Below are 15,274 nucleotides of genomic sequence, written 5' to 3'. Positions count from 1 at the left end.
CAGCAAACCCTAGAATATGCCCCGATCATTTTTGCAGGTATGTTTCCTGGACTGAACAGGTATCAACATTGGATATAAGCAGCCTACCTGCGCAGATTTATTTCGCTGTAACCTAAGTGGGCCTGCTGCCAGCACAAGGAGCAAAAGAAACATTAAACAGATTTACAGAACTGCTTCAGGGGATGGGACAGTTACCGAATGCTGGGAAGCAACAGAAGTAAACTTGTAGCTGTGTGATAAAGGGTGGTTCATTTTGTGCCAAGGCATTAAGTTACTAGGTACTATTATAGTGATGTTCTCTTAAAAATGATAGCCTTACTGTGAACCAGAACTATTGTCCTGTGGACACATTGTAAGAAGGCTTTGCAGATAAACTTAGCACCACCAAAAGTATTTTTATACTACTTTTTTAAAAAAAGATAACAATGTATTTATAGGTGGGACTTTGAATGATTCCAATTAAGATCACCAAGGACACTTACTGACTCTCCAGTCAGGTTTTATTAGCAATGTATCATTCAGTATAGTGTAATTGAATTAAGGCTGAAATTGTCTGGATAGCCATTTACTTAGGTGGCTGTGAACTATGGGTATCAATACTAATTTTAGGGCTCTGCTGTAATAACTAGTAACTTTTTACAAAAGGGTTGAACACTTTAGGGCTACTAAAGAACTTTAATAAAAGAATATCAAGCATCTAGACTCAAGTTGAACTTTAATGGGTGGAGATTATCGATGATTTGCATGGGCAAATTATTGAACAAGTATGAACAGCATTTACTTGTGACTTAATTTTAGTATTCTTTTAAATAATCTTAAATGTAATTAATCAGGTTCGCCTTTGGCTATTTGGAGGATTAGACTAGCTCTATGTGTAACCATTCACTATAAGAAAACACAGTTCTTTTCCTGAGACAGCATATGGGGAAATTTGGAGTAGCAGGCAGTACTTTCTAGAATGGAATTTACAAGTGGGATAATCTGAGAACAGCACATGTCAGTATGTAGGTGCTTTCCATAGCTATTTGATTAAGCTTGTCCAATCCCAGCTTACCTCTGGCTACTGCTGTAGTTCCTCCGTATTCATGAGCATCAAATGTATCTAATTTATTTTAAAATTGTAAAGAATAAAGCTGGAAATAAACAAGTGTGATCAATTGAAAATGTGATTGAATGTTCACCTATTTTTATGCCTGGGATAATATAGTATTTTATAACCAGACCACAAAAATCAGTTTCACTTAATAGTGCTAAAGGGGCTTCTTTCTTTACATATGAATTGTATTGATTTTTGTGTTTTTTTTAAATGGAGTGTTGCTTAACAGATTGAGTACTATACTAAATCTGTAAAAATAGGTTTACTAATATGAAAAGGTGCTTCAGTATCATAGTTATACTTCTGACATTTATAGAATATGTAGTTAATTCAGGCTGCTTTTTAAGAAATGGAATATCATACTCTTTCTGGAAGTACCTTACTCTATAACTTGATATTAAGCCTGTGTTAAAAAATTGCTCTGTGCTTCCTCTTACTTCTGTTTCTTTCCTTTTGGGCCACAGACTTCCTTAGGGAGGAGGTGAGGGAGAAGTGAATTCTCACTTCAGTCAATGGAATCTAGAATTATGTAGTGTTTACCTATTTTGCGTAACATAGGCCCACCTACACACGTTACGAGGTGCTTAAGTGAAAGAACTGTGAACAGACAGCCAGCTATTCAGTGTGTGGTTCCAACTGTAACTGGCAGATGCTTTAATACAATCTGGATTTTATTTTTCTGTGAGAAGGTTTTCTGTATAGCTTGTGGTGCTAACGATGAAACAGAGAGGTATGTGTTCTGTGGCTTCATTTTAAGTGTCACATTGTCAATGCTTCAGGTTAAAGTAAGCTTGCAAAGGGAATAATTTGAAGCATAATTCATCAGATCTTTTCTATTTAACTTTTCACATTTATTTTTTCATATTCAGTTTTAGGAAGTATGTTGTATGGATTACATTTCCTTCCATCTTAGGGAAGAAGTTAAATAAATCTCAAGCTCCAAGGCTTTTGTGTTCTTAGAGAATATTTACACTATGAATCTCATCTCTCATCAGCCTTAAAGCCTAAGAAATATCACTACAGGTGTATATTGCCTGTTGATTATTGGTTAACAGAGAACTGAAAGCTGTTCATTTTTAATATTTTTGCAATCAAGCTACAGTACTTAGGGCTTTAAAAAAAAAAACAAAAACATATTTTAGAACTTAATGTTGTTCATTGCTTACTTTTCCGTTACAAATTTGAGAATTATGTTGTTGTTTCGTAGCCAGAATGGTGATGCTGTCATTGTACTTTAGTTAGCTGTAGACAGCTTATTCAGAAGCATAGTTTTTCAGCCATAAATCTTTTCCCAAGATCTTCTCAAGAAAGAGATCTGGACCTTTGAGACAACTACAATTTAATATTTAAATATTATCATAAGGTGGGAAAAATTATGAAGAATTTGTTAAAAATATTGACAGTCATACTTTGTAGAGATTTTAAGTAATATTTCTACCTGAATATTCTGTTTGTTCTTCCTCTGATATGGTTGGGAGAGATTTAATAATTTTAGGTCTGATAATTGATTAGGGGGAGTCTTCCTGCTAAAAAATGAATACTTGTTAGTTTCCCAGCAGTGTTCTTTTTTGAAACATTTTATTTTCACCAGAAGAAAAAGTATAATTGAACTTTTTTTCTTTCTATAGGAAATTCATGAAAAGCTTAATCTGATTTCTAGAATACAGACATGCGCTGCTCAGTAATGTATGATTGTTTTGGATCCAGTTTTCTAATCTATTTGTGAGAAGGCAGTATTCATTCTCTTGTGTAGGTATAAAATGGATGTTAAGTTAGTGATGAGAAAAGTTGTAATTTTGGGGAGAAAGTTGTTCATAATAATTTACCTAATTGGGGTATTTTTAATGTGCTAACATAACAATAATCAAGAGTGGATAAAGAGGGAATTCATAGAAATATCCCAGCTGTATATATTTATTGTTTTCTTAATGAAAAGGGTTAAATAAGAATATCATACTGAGTGATTTAAAATATTCACTCTGTTTAAACAAACAAAAGGGCCGGGCACGGTGGCTCACACCTGTAATCTCAGCACTTTGGGAGGCCGAGTTGGGCAGATCACGAGGTCAGGATATCGAGACCATTCTGGCTAACATGGTGAAATCCCGTCTCTACTAAAAATACAAAAAATTAGCTGGGCGTGGTGGCATGCACCTGTAGTCCCAGCTACTTAGGAGGCTGAGGCAGGAGAATCGCTTGAACCTGGGAGGCAGAGGTTGCAGTGAGCTGAGATCGCTCCACTCCACTCCAGCCTGGGCAACAGAGCAACACTCTGTCTCAAAAAAAAAAAAATTATTGGGAAAACATTATGATTTGGTTAAAGAAAGATTAGATGCTACTTTTGAAAACTTTTTGTGACCCAAAGAGAAAATTAGAACTCTCATAAGATGAAACCTTTTTTCATTAGAGTAGTAATAATTGTCATCTTTTAATAATGATTTCTCTCTATTAGTAGTCGACTTTACTACAATATTGGAGACTTATTTGTAATTTGAATTTTCAACTACATTTTTCTGTTTTCATCCCTTTTGAATGGAGCTTATAATGGAATTTCGAAACTAAAAGGCTTAAAGTTAGCTTCTCTAAAAGAGCAGAGAATATATGCTCTATTTAGATATTTGATTTAGATGTAGTTTTCCCTCCCCATGGAGAATCAAACATTTATACAGCATTCTACCTTGAAACTAAGTGCAATGTTTCTTGAGGTCTTTGATTGTATTTCCAGGTCTATTATATATTAAGAGTGGTAAAAAAAAAAAAATAGAACTTACTTCATTGTATCAAAAGTTATCTACAAAGAACAGATTATAAACATTTCTTAAGATACTGAAAAATATGAATCTCTGAGAAAATAATTAAATATTAAGTGATGGAGCAGCATCACCATAAATCAAGCTTTTGATTTAAAGGGAGAGAGACTTGCAACTCTTCCTTTCCCTTAAACAGTTAGAGGCCACTGTAGGAGTATTAATTGGCATAATTTCAATATTGTGTCCCAGGAAATAGGGAGGCTTAAGGAGAGTGAGCAGAGATGGGAGAAACAGTAGAGCAGTCAGAACCCACTCAGCATTTATCAATTAAGTGTACCACCTTATATGGACACAATTCAGGGCACCCCCAAACAGTTATAACAGTAACATCAAAGATCACTGATCACAGACCACCATAACAGATACAATAGTAATAATAATAATGAAAAAAGTTTGAAATATTGTGAGAATTACCAGAATGTGACACAGACATGAAGTGAGCACATGCTGTCAGAAACTTGGCACCAATAGACTTGGCCATGCAGGGTTGCCACAAACTTTGAATTTGTAAAAAACACAGTATCTGCGAAGCACAGTAAAATAAAGCAAAGTGCAATAAAACCAGATGTGCCTGTACTTTAAAACTTTAAAACTCAATTGTTTCAGCAATTCCAGAGTGCTCATTTGTAACCTTAGTTTTATTATCTGTAAAATGTGGGTTATAATAGTTCCTATCTCATAAGGTTGTCCCAGAGATTAAATCACTTAATACATGTAAAGTGCTTAGAACAGTGCTTGGCACAGAGACTGAATTCAGTGTTAGCCATTATGAAAAGGGACTACCAGTGTGGGATGCTGACTTTAGAAAATGATAGGATTTCCCATGAATATCCTTTTATCTCATGTTTTTGTTCCAAATAACTGCCAAATCCCACTGAATTTGCTGCTTTATGCAGAATTTTATTTGGGACTTTAATGGTTAAACCTAGAGGACTTTCTAGTCTTGCTTTGTGAGGATCATTTTGTCATTTTAGGAACTTTGGTAATCTAAAATTGTTGAATACAAGCTAAGAATGGGCACAGACAATAAAACTGTTTGGGTTCTTAGTTGTGTGTTTAAAAATGTATTTTCTAGGTGTGGAGAATTAAGTGATTATTTGTGGGTAAGGTTGCAAGACTATATAAACAGCTCTCCTTCCACAATCAGGGAGCACGTGACCCTGTCTGTTCCTAAACTGTCTGGACTCACTTCTAATGTGTATGTTTTTCTTCCTGGTAGTACCAGGAATTTACCTTTGTGAAATACCCTGATTTTCCACCCTTAGGTTCCTTTCTGTCCTCATTTTTAAAATAAGCACACAAAGTCCACTTTATTTACTGAAATATTTGTCGTTGGTCACTACCAGGAAATGGTTGACAAATACAATGAACATTGAGGAAGTGACAAAGGTTCAGATAATCTCAGCACTACTCATAATTGAATAGTTGTTACTAATCTATGCTGAAGTATAACTTTTTTACAGTTTATTTTACATGTGAATACATTCTAGTCTTCTAAATGGTCCTGTAATAGGGTCTTTTAGTCTGTTTAGGAATTAGCCCCATTCTACCTTGTCTAGGGTGTGGAGTAATGACATTAGAAAATCTGGACCACTTTACCTCTGGTAGCTTCAGTTTCTCCATTTATAAAATGGGGACAAATGATTGTACTTTATAGTTGTAATAGAAATTAAATGGGGTAATGTATGTTGAGTTAACATGTGGATCTCAGTCCTAGCTCTGCCAGAGTTCTTTGGCCTTCAGTCACTGGGCTTTTCTGACCTACTCAGTTCCCTTATCTGGAAAATAGAGTTCAGACTTTCCTACCCAATTCACAGGGCTATTATGGGGGTCAAATAAAATAATCTTACGTGAAAGCATTTGGCTAATTACCATTCTATGCAAGTTCAAGATAGACCTTACCCCAAGGTTGATTCAAATTGACACCCTCTGTTGACCTAAAAGAATTCTCCCATGCTTGCCAAAACCTGCTTTTAATTTTTCTAAATATGGGCCCCTTAGTCCAGAAGATACTTATCTAGCCTCCAAAGATTTGCCTTTCTCTAAACAGCAGGCTACCCAGCAGTAGCCTTATAGCTACTTCTGTGGCCACTCCAGCTCTAGTCGCTTTCCTTCAACCATTTGAGAGAGGTAGCCACAATATTAAAATATTTTAAATGTACAGAAACATTAATCATTAATTGCCATCAAGGCAAGATTCTCATTCTCACTCTCAGCCCCTATCAATTCTAGTAAAATACTGAAACTACACCCGCCTTCAACTACACGGCCTTTACTAACACAAGTCTTAGTATAAATAACCTTTTATTATCAGTATCAGTATAATGTTAGTAAGCAAACATTAAGTACCTTACTGTGTGCCAAGAAGTATGCCAAAAAAAGGGGAAATTTCCATCCTAAGAACAATGTATGTTGTCTTCAAGATTAGAGCAGTGGTTCTCACAAGGTAGGGGAGTGAGTAGTGGGGAGATAGGAAGTTGAGGCATTTTTAAAGTCACAACTAGAATGTTCTACTGGCATCTAGGTAGAACAGAAAGGCCAGAGATACTGCTGAACCCCCTACAATGCACAGGCCAGTGCCCCACAATGTCAAAATGTCAGTAATGCCCAAGTTGAGAAGCCCCAGTTAAAGGAACAAATACTGTCCCTAGGAAAGATGTTAACTCCTTTTCCATCAGGATGAAATAAGTTATCCCTGTAGGTGATATACTATCAGCATGCTATTTGGCTTCTCTAAGAGAGGAGGGTGGGAATTTACACAGGTGGTGTCCTGTATCTTGGGAAGGGGAACATAGACTTCACTTCCTCCACTGCTGTGTTGAGAAGCTAAAAGACACTAGCAGAAAGTAGTAACCTCCAACTACTACTGCACACCATTATTTCTCCTTTTATGTAAAAATGCTATGTGTTACTCCTGCTGGTTGCAAAAGAATGAAGAAGGTGATTAAATTTTCACTCTTATCAAGAAACTGCTATGAATTAAACTCCAGTCATCAGCTGAATTGGTTTCATAAAATGGTTCCACCGCAAACATACTAAAGCAGTTCTTTCTGTTTGAGTCATCCTTTTGAAATCAGCCACAAGGAAACTCTAGTATAGATGGAAATCTGTTTTATCTGAGATAATATATGCAGTCCACATTGTTTTTCATCATAAAAAAATGTTATAACATTTTCATGTTTTAAAACATTTTCCTTTTTTTCTCAGTACCCCATTATGCCTACCCACTTGCCCACTAAAATAGAAGTGCTCAGAAGATATGTAAACAATCTGCATAAGATTTGTTTTGTCCCTTGCTTAGTATTTGTTTTGCTTTTTTTTTTAGGGCAGGAATTTTGTACTTGTGTTTAGTAGGTAGTAAGCAAAAGGCTGTGTGTGATGTAAATAATGAAAGAAAACATTTGTTAGGTTGAGAGACAAAGATTGATTTCTCAGTTTTTCTTCTTTAGGTGAAACTGACAGATATTATACAAAGTCTTTCCTTTGGGAAGACTTGATATGAAAATAATTGTATTTCACTGGCCCTTAAAAAGGAAATGATTAGAATGTTTAACAGTCAAATTAATAATACTATTCCTAATAAATACATATTTTATGAGTAACTTTTCATGTTCTCCCAGCCCACAAAGAAAATAACACTATTCCAGAATATGTTTATTTTAAAATTTTTTTTTAACTCTGGAAGTTTAGTTCCTGCTAATGAGAGCAACATGCTTTCGAGTATCAAGCAAAGTTTCAAAGTAATAGATAAAATAGAAGACAGTTTTATTAGGAAGATTTTCTTTAGCATTTCTTCTAGTCTTGAGTAGAATTAATGGTGCTATTTCATGTTCTTGGTGCTAGATAACATTGGGATAGGGCTGAATACATGAGGTCAAACTAACTTAATTGAAGACCAACAAATGAAGCCAGTAATCGAGACATTCGGATGTTTTTTATGTACATACTCATTTAAAGTTCTCAAGTACATGACTTCAGGAATTTTTTTTTTTTTTTCTTTTTTTTTGAGACAGAGTTTCTCTCCGTCACCCAGGCTGGAGGATCACAGCTCACTGTAGCCTCAAACTCCTGGGCACAAGTGATCCTCCCACCTCAGCTTTCTGAGTAGCTGGGGCTATAGGTGCATGCCATGACATTTGGCTAATGTTTTCTGTTTTTACTTTTTTTTTTTTAAATCTTTTGTAGAGACGGGAGTCTTACTATGTTGCGCAGGCTGGTCTCAAACTCCTGGCCTCAAGTGATCCTCTCACCTTGGCCTCCCAAAGTGCTGGGATTACGGGCATGAGCCACCATGCCCAGCCTAGGAATTCATTTTGAAGAATTCTTTTACTCAGATTTTAAAATATAGAGAGAATATATAAAGACAGTGAGTAGGAAAGCATTGTCTAGGTACTGGTCTTTGTTAAAGAGTATAAACCTTTGGGAAGATCATGAATCTTTCTTCAGAGAACACATAAAAAAAAAAGTTCCAGGAAGAATAGCTGTCACAGCATTTTATTTGCAGTTTAATAAGGCCAGTTGTATATTGATTGATTATATGCCATTTTTAAATTTTGAAAACTATCTTGGGTCATTTATGTATATAAATAACTGGTACTACAAAAGTGTTTTATTTTGGGTTTAGATTATCAAATACAGAAGTAGAAGCCAAGATTGAATGTGTTCCTGTGATTGAAACTTTGATGTCACTGATAAAATATCCCCAGATAAGGCCTTCTAAGAGATCTAAGCAGAGTAAGAATATGTCTGATTGGAAATATATTGTTTTTCTTGGCTAATTTGACCAAGGGCTCTAGAAATTATATGGAGGGTATATGCCAGCCGTACTCTTGTTTTTTAGTTTCTTGTCTAAGCAAAAAAATTGTTCTTTTGCTATAGACGCAATAGAACTAAATCTATAGTGTTATGCACGTTACTTGTAAATTCTTATGTCAGGACCAAATGGTCGCTTATATTTTTTCCAGCTCCCAAATTCCCTTTATTCCACTTTAGTCCCTTCATTTTCAGAGATGAGGAAACAGATTGCTTTGTTCAAAGACAGCTAGAACTAGAACACAGGCTAATACTTGCTAGCCATGTGATATACTAATGTCAGCCAAATACGGGCATTTACACTTTCAGATGTTTGCCATATCTGTGCACTTACTAATTCTATTTAATACAATTTAAATTGACTCCTTTAAATAAGCTTATTTTAAAGGAAATTTTTTGCTACTATAAATAGAAAACCATTATATCCTTTAAATAGTAACTCTAAATAGGAATTCAAAACAAAGCAACGTTATTAAAATTTAATTTAAAATTAATTTAAATTTAATTGTTATTAAATTTTTAATTATTGCTGTTCTTCGTCAGAAATGTGTCAAAGCATTGTTTTCATGTTTGATGTCAGTTCCTTAATTGTCTAAACAGAAAAAGCACAGCTAATGCCTCTAGTTAAGCTTCTGTATAACTTTTTTAAATGAAATGCTTCTTAGAGGGGAAATGAGAGGGCATGAATACATGTTTATATACTAAAGTATGATTTCATGTATATCAGAAGATCTTATTATATGGAACCAAAATTATTCTTTGGTTGATTTAATTGTTCTTGAAACTTCAGTTTTTACCTTGAAGGTTTTAGTTAGCTTAGCATAAGTTTATTTTTCTAAATAAGGAATCTGATTGCCTCACAACTCAGATGTATCACAGTTATGGTGAAATAGCAATATATTGGTTTCTGTAACCTTTTAAATACCGTAATGAATTAAAATCTCTTCAGCAAAAGCAAATATATCTAGGGTGACGAGAGGTGTTTTTAGTGTATTTGAATGATGGAAATGTTTTTCTTAAAATATTTCTGAAGCATTTTTTAAAATAATTTTTTGAATTTATTGATGATAGTAGTTGTGTGTTAGTGTGAATGACTGGTCTAAATGTGTATGTCACTTCCAAGGGATTAGTAGGGGTCAGAATGATTTGTTTTATTCATTGACTTTTCCTTTGACGTGTTCTTATTCATTGGGCTACATACATTCCCTGTTGCCTTCTCACCAAAAGTGCCACTACACAGGCTGTATTTCATTGTACTGTAGAAAAAGACAAGTAGACCTTTTTCATTCATGAGATTCCTATGAAATCTGTTGGTGGAGGTATAAAATGAGGAGACTTTTATGGGCTAGCTAGTAGGAGTTTTGCTGTGAAACCTTTGTAACAGGTCTATCAGGAACTAGGGAGAGAAATAAATGCAGGAAATACTTGATCCCATTAAACTGAGGATGAAAAAGACATGATAATATTTTGGGGATTATTTATTGTGTGATTTTCCGGCTGATCAGAAGTGTTAATTTTTTGTTATACTTGTGTCAAATACATATATATATATATATTTTGAAATGGAGTCTTGCTCTGTCACCCAGGCTGGAGTGCAGTGGTGCGATCTGGGTTCACTGCAACCTCTGCCTCCAGGTTCAAGTGATCCTCCTGCCTCAGCCTCCCGAGTAGCTAGGACTACAGGCACGTGCCACCACGCCCTGCTAATTTTTGTATTCTTAGTGGAGATGGGGTTTCACCATGTTGGCCAGGCTGGTCTTGAACTCCTGACCTCAAGTGATCTTCCCACCTTGGCCTTTCTGAACTATTTCCTTTACACACATTTAGAACTACATCTAACTGTATTATAGTTTTCACTTTCACCATCAGACAAAATTCAGAAGATTCAAGAGAAGGAAAGTCGATTGTATTTACTCATATTTTTGCTACCGTGTTTTTACATCTCATATTTTAAGGTTCTTTTATTTATTTATTTTCTGTTTAGTTAATTTCCTCTAGCCATTCTTTATTTATAGTGGGTCTGCTGGTAACAAATTCTCTCAATTTTTCCTCGTCTGAGAATGTCTTGACTTCCCTTCCATTTTTGTCAGCACCTGAAAAATACTATGCCACTATCTTCTGGGTTCTGTGGTTTCTGATGAGAACTCCACTGTCAGTCTAATTGTCGTTATAAATGCAGTGTTCTCTCTCTCTCTCTGCTTCCAGGATATTTTTTCTTTTTTTTTTTTTTTTTTTTTCTTGAGACGGAGTCTCACTCTGTCGCCCAGGCTGGAGTGCAGTGGCGCAATTTTGGCTCACTGCAAGCTCTGCCTCCCGGGTTCAAGCGATTACTCCCACTTTAGCCTCCCAAGTAGCTAGGACTACAAGGCACACCACCATGCCTGGCTAATTTTTGTATTTTTAGTAGAGACGGGGTTTCACCATGTTGCCCAGGCTGGTCTCGAACTCCTGACATCAAGTGATCTTCCCGCCTCCGCTTCCCAAAGTGCTGGAATTACAGGCGTGAGCCACTGCTCCCAGCCTCTTTATTTTTTCAGCTTTACTCTTTCTTCTGTCTTTTTGACATGTGTGTCCAGTGACACACGTGTTAGATTTTGCTATAGTCTCACGCACGGGTCTATAAGGCTCTGTTTTTTGTTTCATTTTGTTTTTCCTATTTTCTCTCTATTCAGATCGAGTAATTTCCACTGTTCAGTTTTATCATAGCTGCTTTTAAATCTTTGTCAGGTAATTCTGTCATCTAAGTTTTGGCACCTATTGATTATCTTTTGCATTGTTTTTGTTTTTGTTTCTGTTTTTGTTTTGAGATGGAGTCTTGCTCTGTTGCCCAGGTTGGAGTGCAGTGGCACTGATCTCGGCTCACTGCAACCTCCTCCTCCCGGGTTCAAGTGGTTCTCCTGCCTCAACCTCCTTAGTAGCTGGGATTACAGGCATGTGCCACCACGCCCGGCTAATTTTGTATTTTTAGTAGAGACCAGGTTTATCCATGTTGGTCAGGCTGGTCTCAAACTCCCAACCTCAAGTGATCCGCCTGCCTCGACCTCCCAAAGTGCTGGGATTACAGGCGTGAACCACTGCACCCAGCCTATCTTTTGCATTGTTTTAAATCTTGTTCTTGCTAGGATGAATGATTTTCTGTTAAAACTAGATATTTTCATATTATGTTCCTAGGCTCTGGATATTATCTAAACCTTCTGTTTCCACTGGCTTTTATTGACACTGCTTTGGCAAGGTCATAGGGGGTGCCTCATTACTGCCAGGTGGACATAGAAGTCAAGGGTCCCTACTCAGCCTCTACTGATGCCTCAGGAAGAGGATCCTTCTTGTTATTGCTGGGTGGGGGTGGAAGTCTAGCTGACACCTACTGAGGTAGGTGCTGGGGCATGCCCGGCCATCAGGGTGAAAGTCCTGGCTCCCTAGTTGGCCTACTTTTACATTGCCCTAATAGGGCATTGGAGCTCCTCACTATGGTTTATGAGCTGGAAGTCAAGGCTCCTCACTTAGCTTTCGTTGGTGTGGGTGGTGGTGGGGCAAAACTGTTTTCTGGGTTTGGCTGGAGTGGAGCAGTTACTGTCAAAAGTTTTCTGTCTTGCCAGGCTGTCCCTTTCTTGTTTCTTTGGCTAGAGAGAGCAAGCTTTTGTTGTGGCTCTTTTTGTCTGTGCCAGTTGGCATTTCCAGGTTGCTGCCTTCTTTAGCTCCAAGTCTGGGATATATTAGGCAAAAAGAAAACCCAGAGAATTTACACCACCGTGTCATTCCATGGGTCCTGAGGTCCCTTACTTAGTCTGCCTTCTCTCCACTTTTCACAGTCTTCTCATGTTTTGTATATAATGTCCAGGGTCTTTAGTTATACTTAGCAGAAATAAAAGGGAAAAGTATGTCTGCTCTATGCTTCTGTAAGTGGAAGTCTTCAAATTTGCATTTTTGATTCCTTTAAACAGTTTTGTAAAATATATAATCATTATTGGGCAAAATGTCCCATAAAATGTATATACCTTGTGATGGTTTGCATAATATTGTGTTCAAGAGGACTGCTGAAAAATAACATCTTTATTTAAACTGAAACGAATTGTTCACATTATTAATGAAAACTTTTCCCCTCTAGGAAATAATGCAAAAGGTGTCCCAAGGCTCCTGACCAGTGAACAAAGATTTGAGAAAGACAGCCAAGCTCATGTTTTCTCCTGATCAAGAAAATCATCCATCTAAAGCACCAGTAAAATATGGTGAACTCATTGTCTTAGGGTAAGGTTTCTCCATTTGATGACACACACAGTTTAATAATATATGCTAACTTTGGCATCTAGGCTAAAAGTACTTTTTTTTTTGGAATTTATATCTTACCTGCTTCCAAAAAGAATTTAAAGCTACAGGTAATGTTACCAAATCAAGAAACTCTTTTACTTCTCATATTCATGCCATCTTTTAAAAGCACTCAAATATGACATAAGCTTTGTCTCACCCTTACCCACAGAAAGGGCAGAGTTTCTCAAAGATGAAATGGAAAGTCCGGGCATGGTGGCTCACGCCTGTAATCCCAGCACTTTGGGAGGCCAAGACAGGCAGATTACCTGAGGCCAGGAATTCGAGACCAGCCTGGCCAACATGGTGAAACCCCATCTCTACTAAAAACACAAAAATTAGCCGGGCGTGATGAGGCATGCCTGTAATCCCAGTTACTTGGGAGATTGAGGCAGGAAAATTGCTTGAACCCTGGAGGCAGAGGTTGCAGTGAGCTGAGATCGCGCCACTGCACTCCAGCCTGGGCAACAGAGTAAGACTCTGTCTCAAAAAAAAAAAAATGAAATGAAATGAAAAATGTTATTTATCCACTGTCACAGTCATTCCATTTGTCTTCCCTATCCCATGTTTTGCCTCAGCTGACTTTACCAAAAATTCCCTTTCCCTTCCCTGCTTTAAGTCATTTCATGTAGGTTAGTCTTCATTTATTCTTTTGCCTCTCTACAGTAGTTATTGCTTTGTGCTGTACATTTGGGTTAAAGGAGTTGTATATGTGTATGGTGACAGCATAATGCCTCTGAAGCCCAGGACCTAGCTACTTCTTAGCTCCTAACGTAATTTCATCCATGTAACTCACAGAAATAGAATCTGAAGATTGAGGAATAGATGATTCTGTTATTCCAAATTATTTCAATTTATTCCACTTAAACTTGCCATTAACTATCAAAATGGAGACACAGTATTAGCCTTTCCTAACTAGAGATCTCAGAAACTAGAAAATTGCTCATTTTAGGCCAGGTGCAGTAGCTTATACCTGTAATCCCAGCTTACAGGTGGGAGGCCTAGGTGGGCAGATCACCTGAGCTCAGGAGTTCGAGACCAGCCTGGCCAACATGGTGAAACCCCATCTTCACTAAAAATACAAAAATTAGCTGGGCATGATAGTGCATGTCTGTAATCCCAGCTACTTGGGAGGCTGGGGCAGGAGAATCACTTGAACCCAGGAGGAGGAGGTTGCAGTGAGCTGAGATCAGCGCCACTGCACTCCAACCTGGGCAACAGAGCAAGACTCCGTCTCGAAAAAAATGAGAAAAAAGAAAATTGCTAATTTTATTTTCCCCCTACTGTTTCCCTCCTTTTGCCTAAAAAGCAACTCTAGATATTGCGGTATGTTTGAGAGTCAGGTTGTTAAAGTGAGAATGCGTTGTTTCAGTTGAGATAGTAAGAGAAACTGGGGAAATCATATGGAGTTACTGAGCTTGACTGGATGTTAGGAATCCTAGAATCCGGTGCTTGTTCAGCACTGCTAGCTGTGTGACCTTGGGCAAGTCACTGAACCATCCTGGGCCTTAGTTTCCTTGTCTGTAAAAATGACAGATAAGATCATCTAAGGCCCTTTGAGACTTAAAATTCTTTTCTCAGAAACAAAGCTTTAAAAGATCATAAATTTAGCATAGTAACTACAGTATTAGAACTTCAAATCACATAGATTTTAATGGTATCAATGACAAACAGCTCTTAACTACCAAAAACTTTTCCAGATTAAATTCTTCTAGCAGGAAATTTGAGAGTCATTTGAAGAATAGTTTAATATTTAGCTTAGGGTTTTAAACCGCCAGTCTTAGCCTATGGGTTCCTCAGTTAATCATTAGCAACAGTAATTGTCTCTGTGTCTGGTACTTGGTGTCTTAAAATGCAGATAATTTTTCTTCTCAACCCTCTAGAAGTGAAGCTGGACAAGGTTTCATGCTGTTGCTGCTTAGAAAAGAGCTTTGAACTACAGGAACGCAATGTGGGACTAAAGAGCAAGATCCAGAAGTGGGATGAGTCATGCAACTCAGAGGACAGTAGTGAAGGGGCAGTGAGGAATCGACAGAGGGTCTGGGGGCAATACAAAGCCTAAAATAGCTAAAATAATTATTAGCTAAGGGGCTGTACTTTGGACTTACAGCAAGGCTAGCAACATTACCAAGGGCTTTCTCCAATACAAAGTATTTTATTTTTTATAAAGGGTCAATGTAGTTTCTATATATGGCAGTCATTGAGTAAACTCTCTTCTCAGCTTTAAAACATTCTTCCTTGCCAGCCACAATTA

The 15,274-nt window shown here is 37.1% G+C and overlaps 1 protein-coding gene across 5 annotated transcripts in view, besides 1 other annotated feature; it reads left to right on the top strand.

The window, feature by feature from the left end:
- The window catches only part of PELI1 (pellino E3 ubiquitin protein ligase 1), a 51,769-nt gene that overhangs the window by 23,218 nt on the left and 13,277 nt on the right, over positions 1-15,274 (top strand). For 3 of the 5 annotated variants that reach the window (NM_020651.4, XM_017004520.2, XM_011532994.4), the window contains one exon: positions 12,824-12,963. In NM_020651.4, the coding sequence (NP_065702.2) occupies positions 12,893-12,963 (71 nt within the window). In that variant the 5' untranslated portion in view covers positions 12,824-12,892. Of the gene's footprint in view, positions 1-1,709; positions 1,827-8,530; positions 8,641-12,823; positions 12,964-15,274 lie in introns of those variants that run through there. The other 2 variants (XM_047445137.1, XM_047445139.1) reach the window with 2 other exon arrangements.
- Positions 7,000-7,079: an enhancer, noted in NCBI's record as "active region_15882". NCBI's record gives its function as "activates an Ori minimal core promoter by ATAC-STARR-seq in GM12878 lymphoblastoid cells {active_cell/tissue: GM12878}" and the evidence as "EXISTENCE:reporter gene assay evidence [ECO:0000049][PMID:35858748]".

Source organism: Homo sapiens, chromosome 2 (genome assembly GCF_000001405.40).
Source record: "Homo sapiens chromosome 2, GRCh38.p14 Primary Assembly".
NCBI lineage: Eukaryota > Metazoa > Chordata > Mammalia > Primates > Hominidae > Homo > Homo sapiens.
This window is presented reverse-complemented; position numbering and strand designations above follow the sequence as displayed.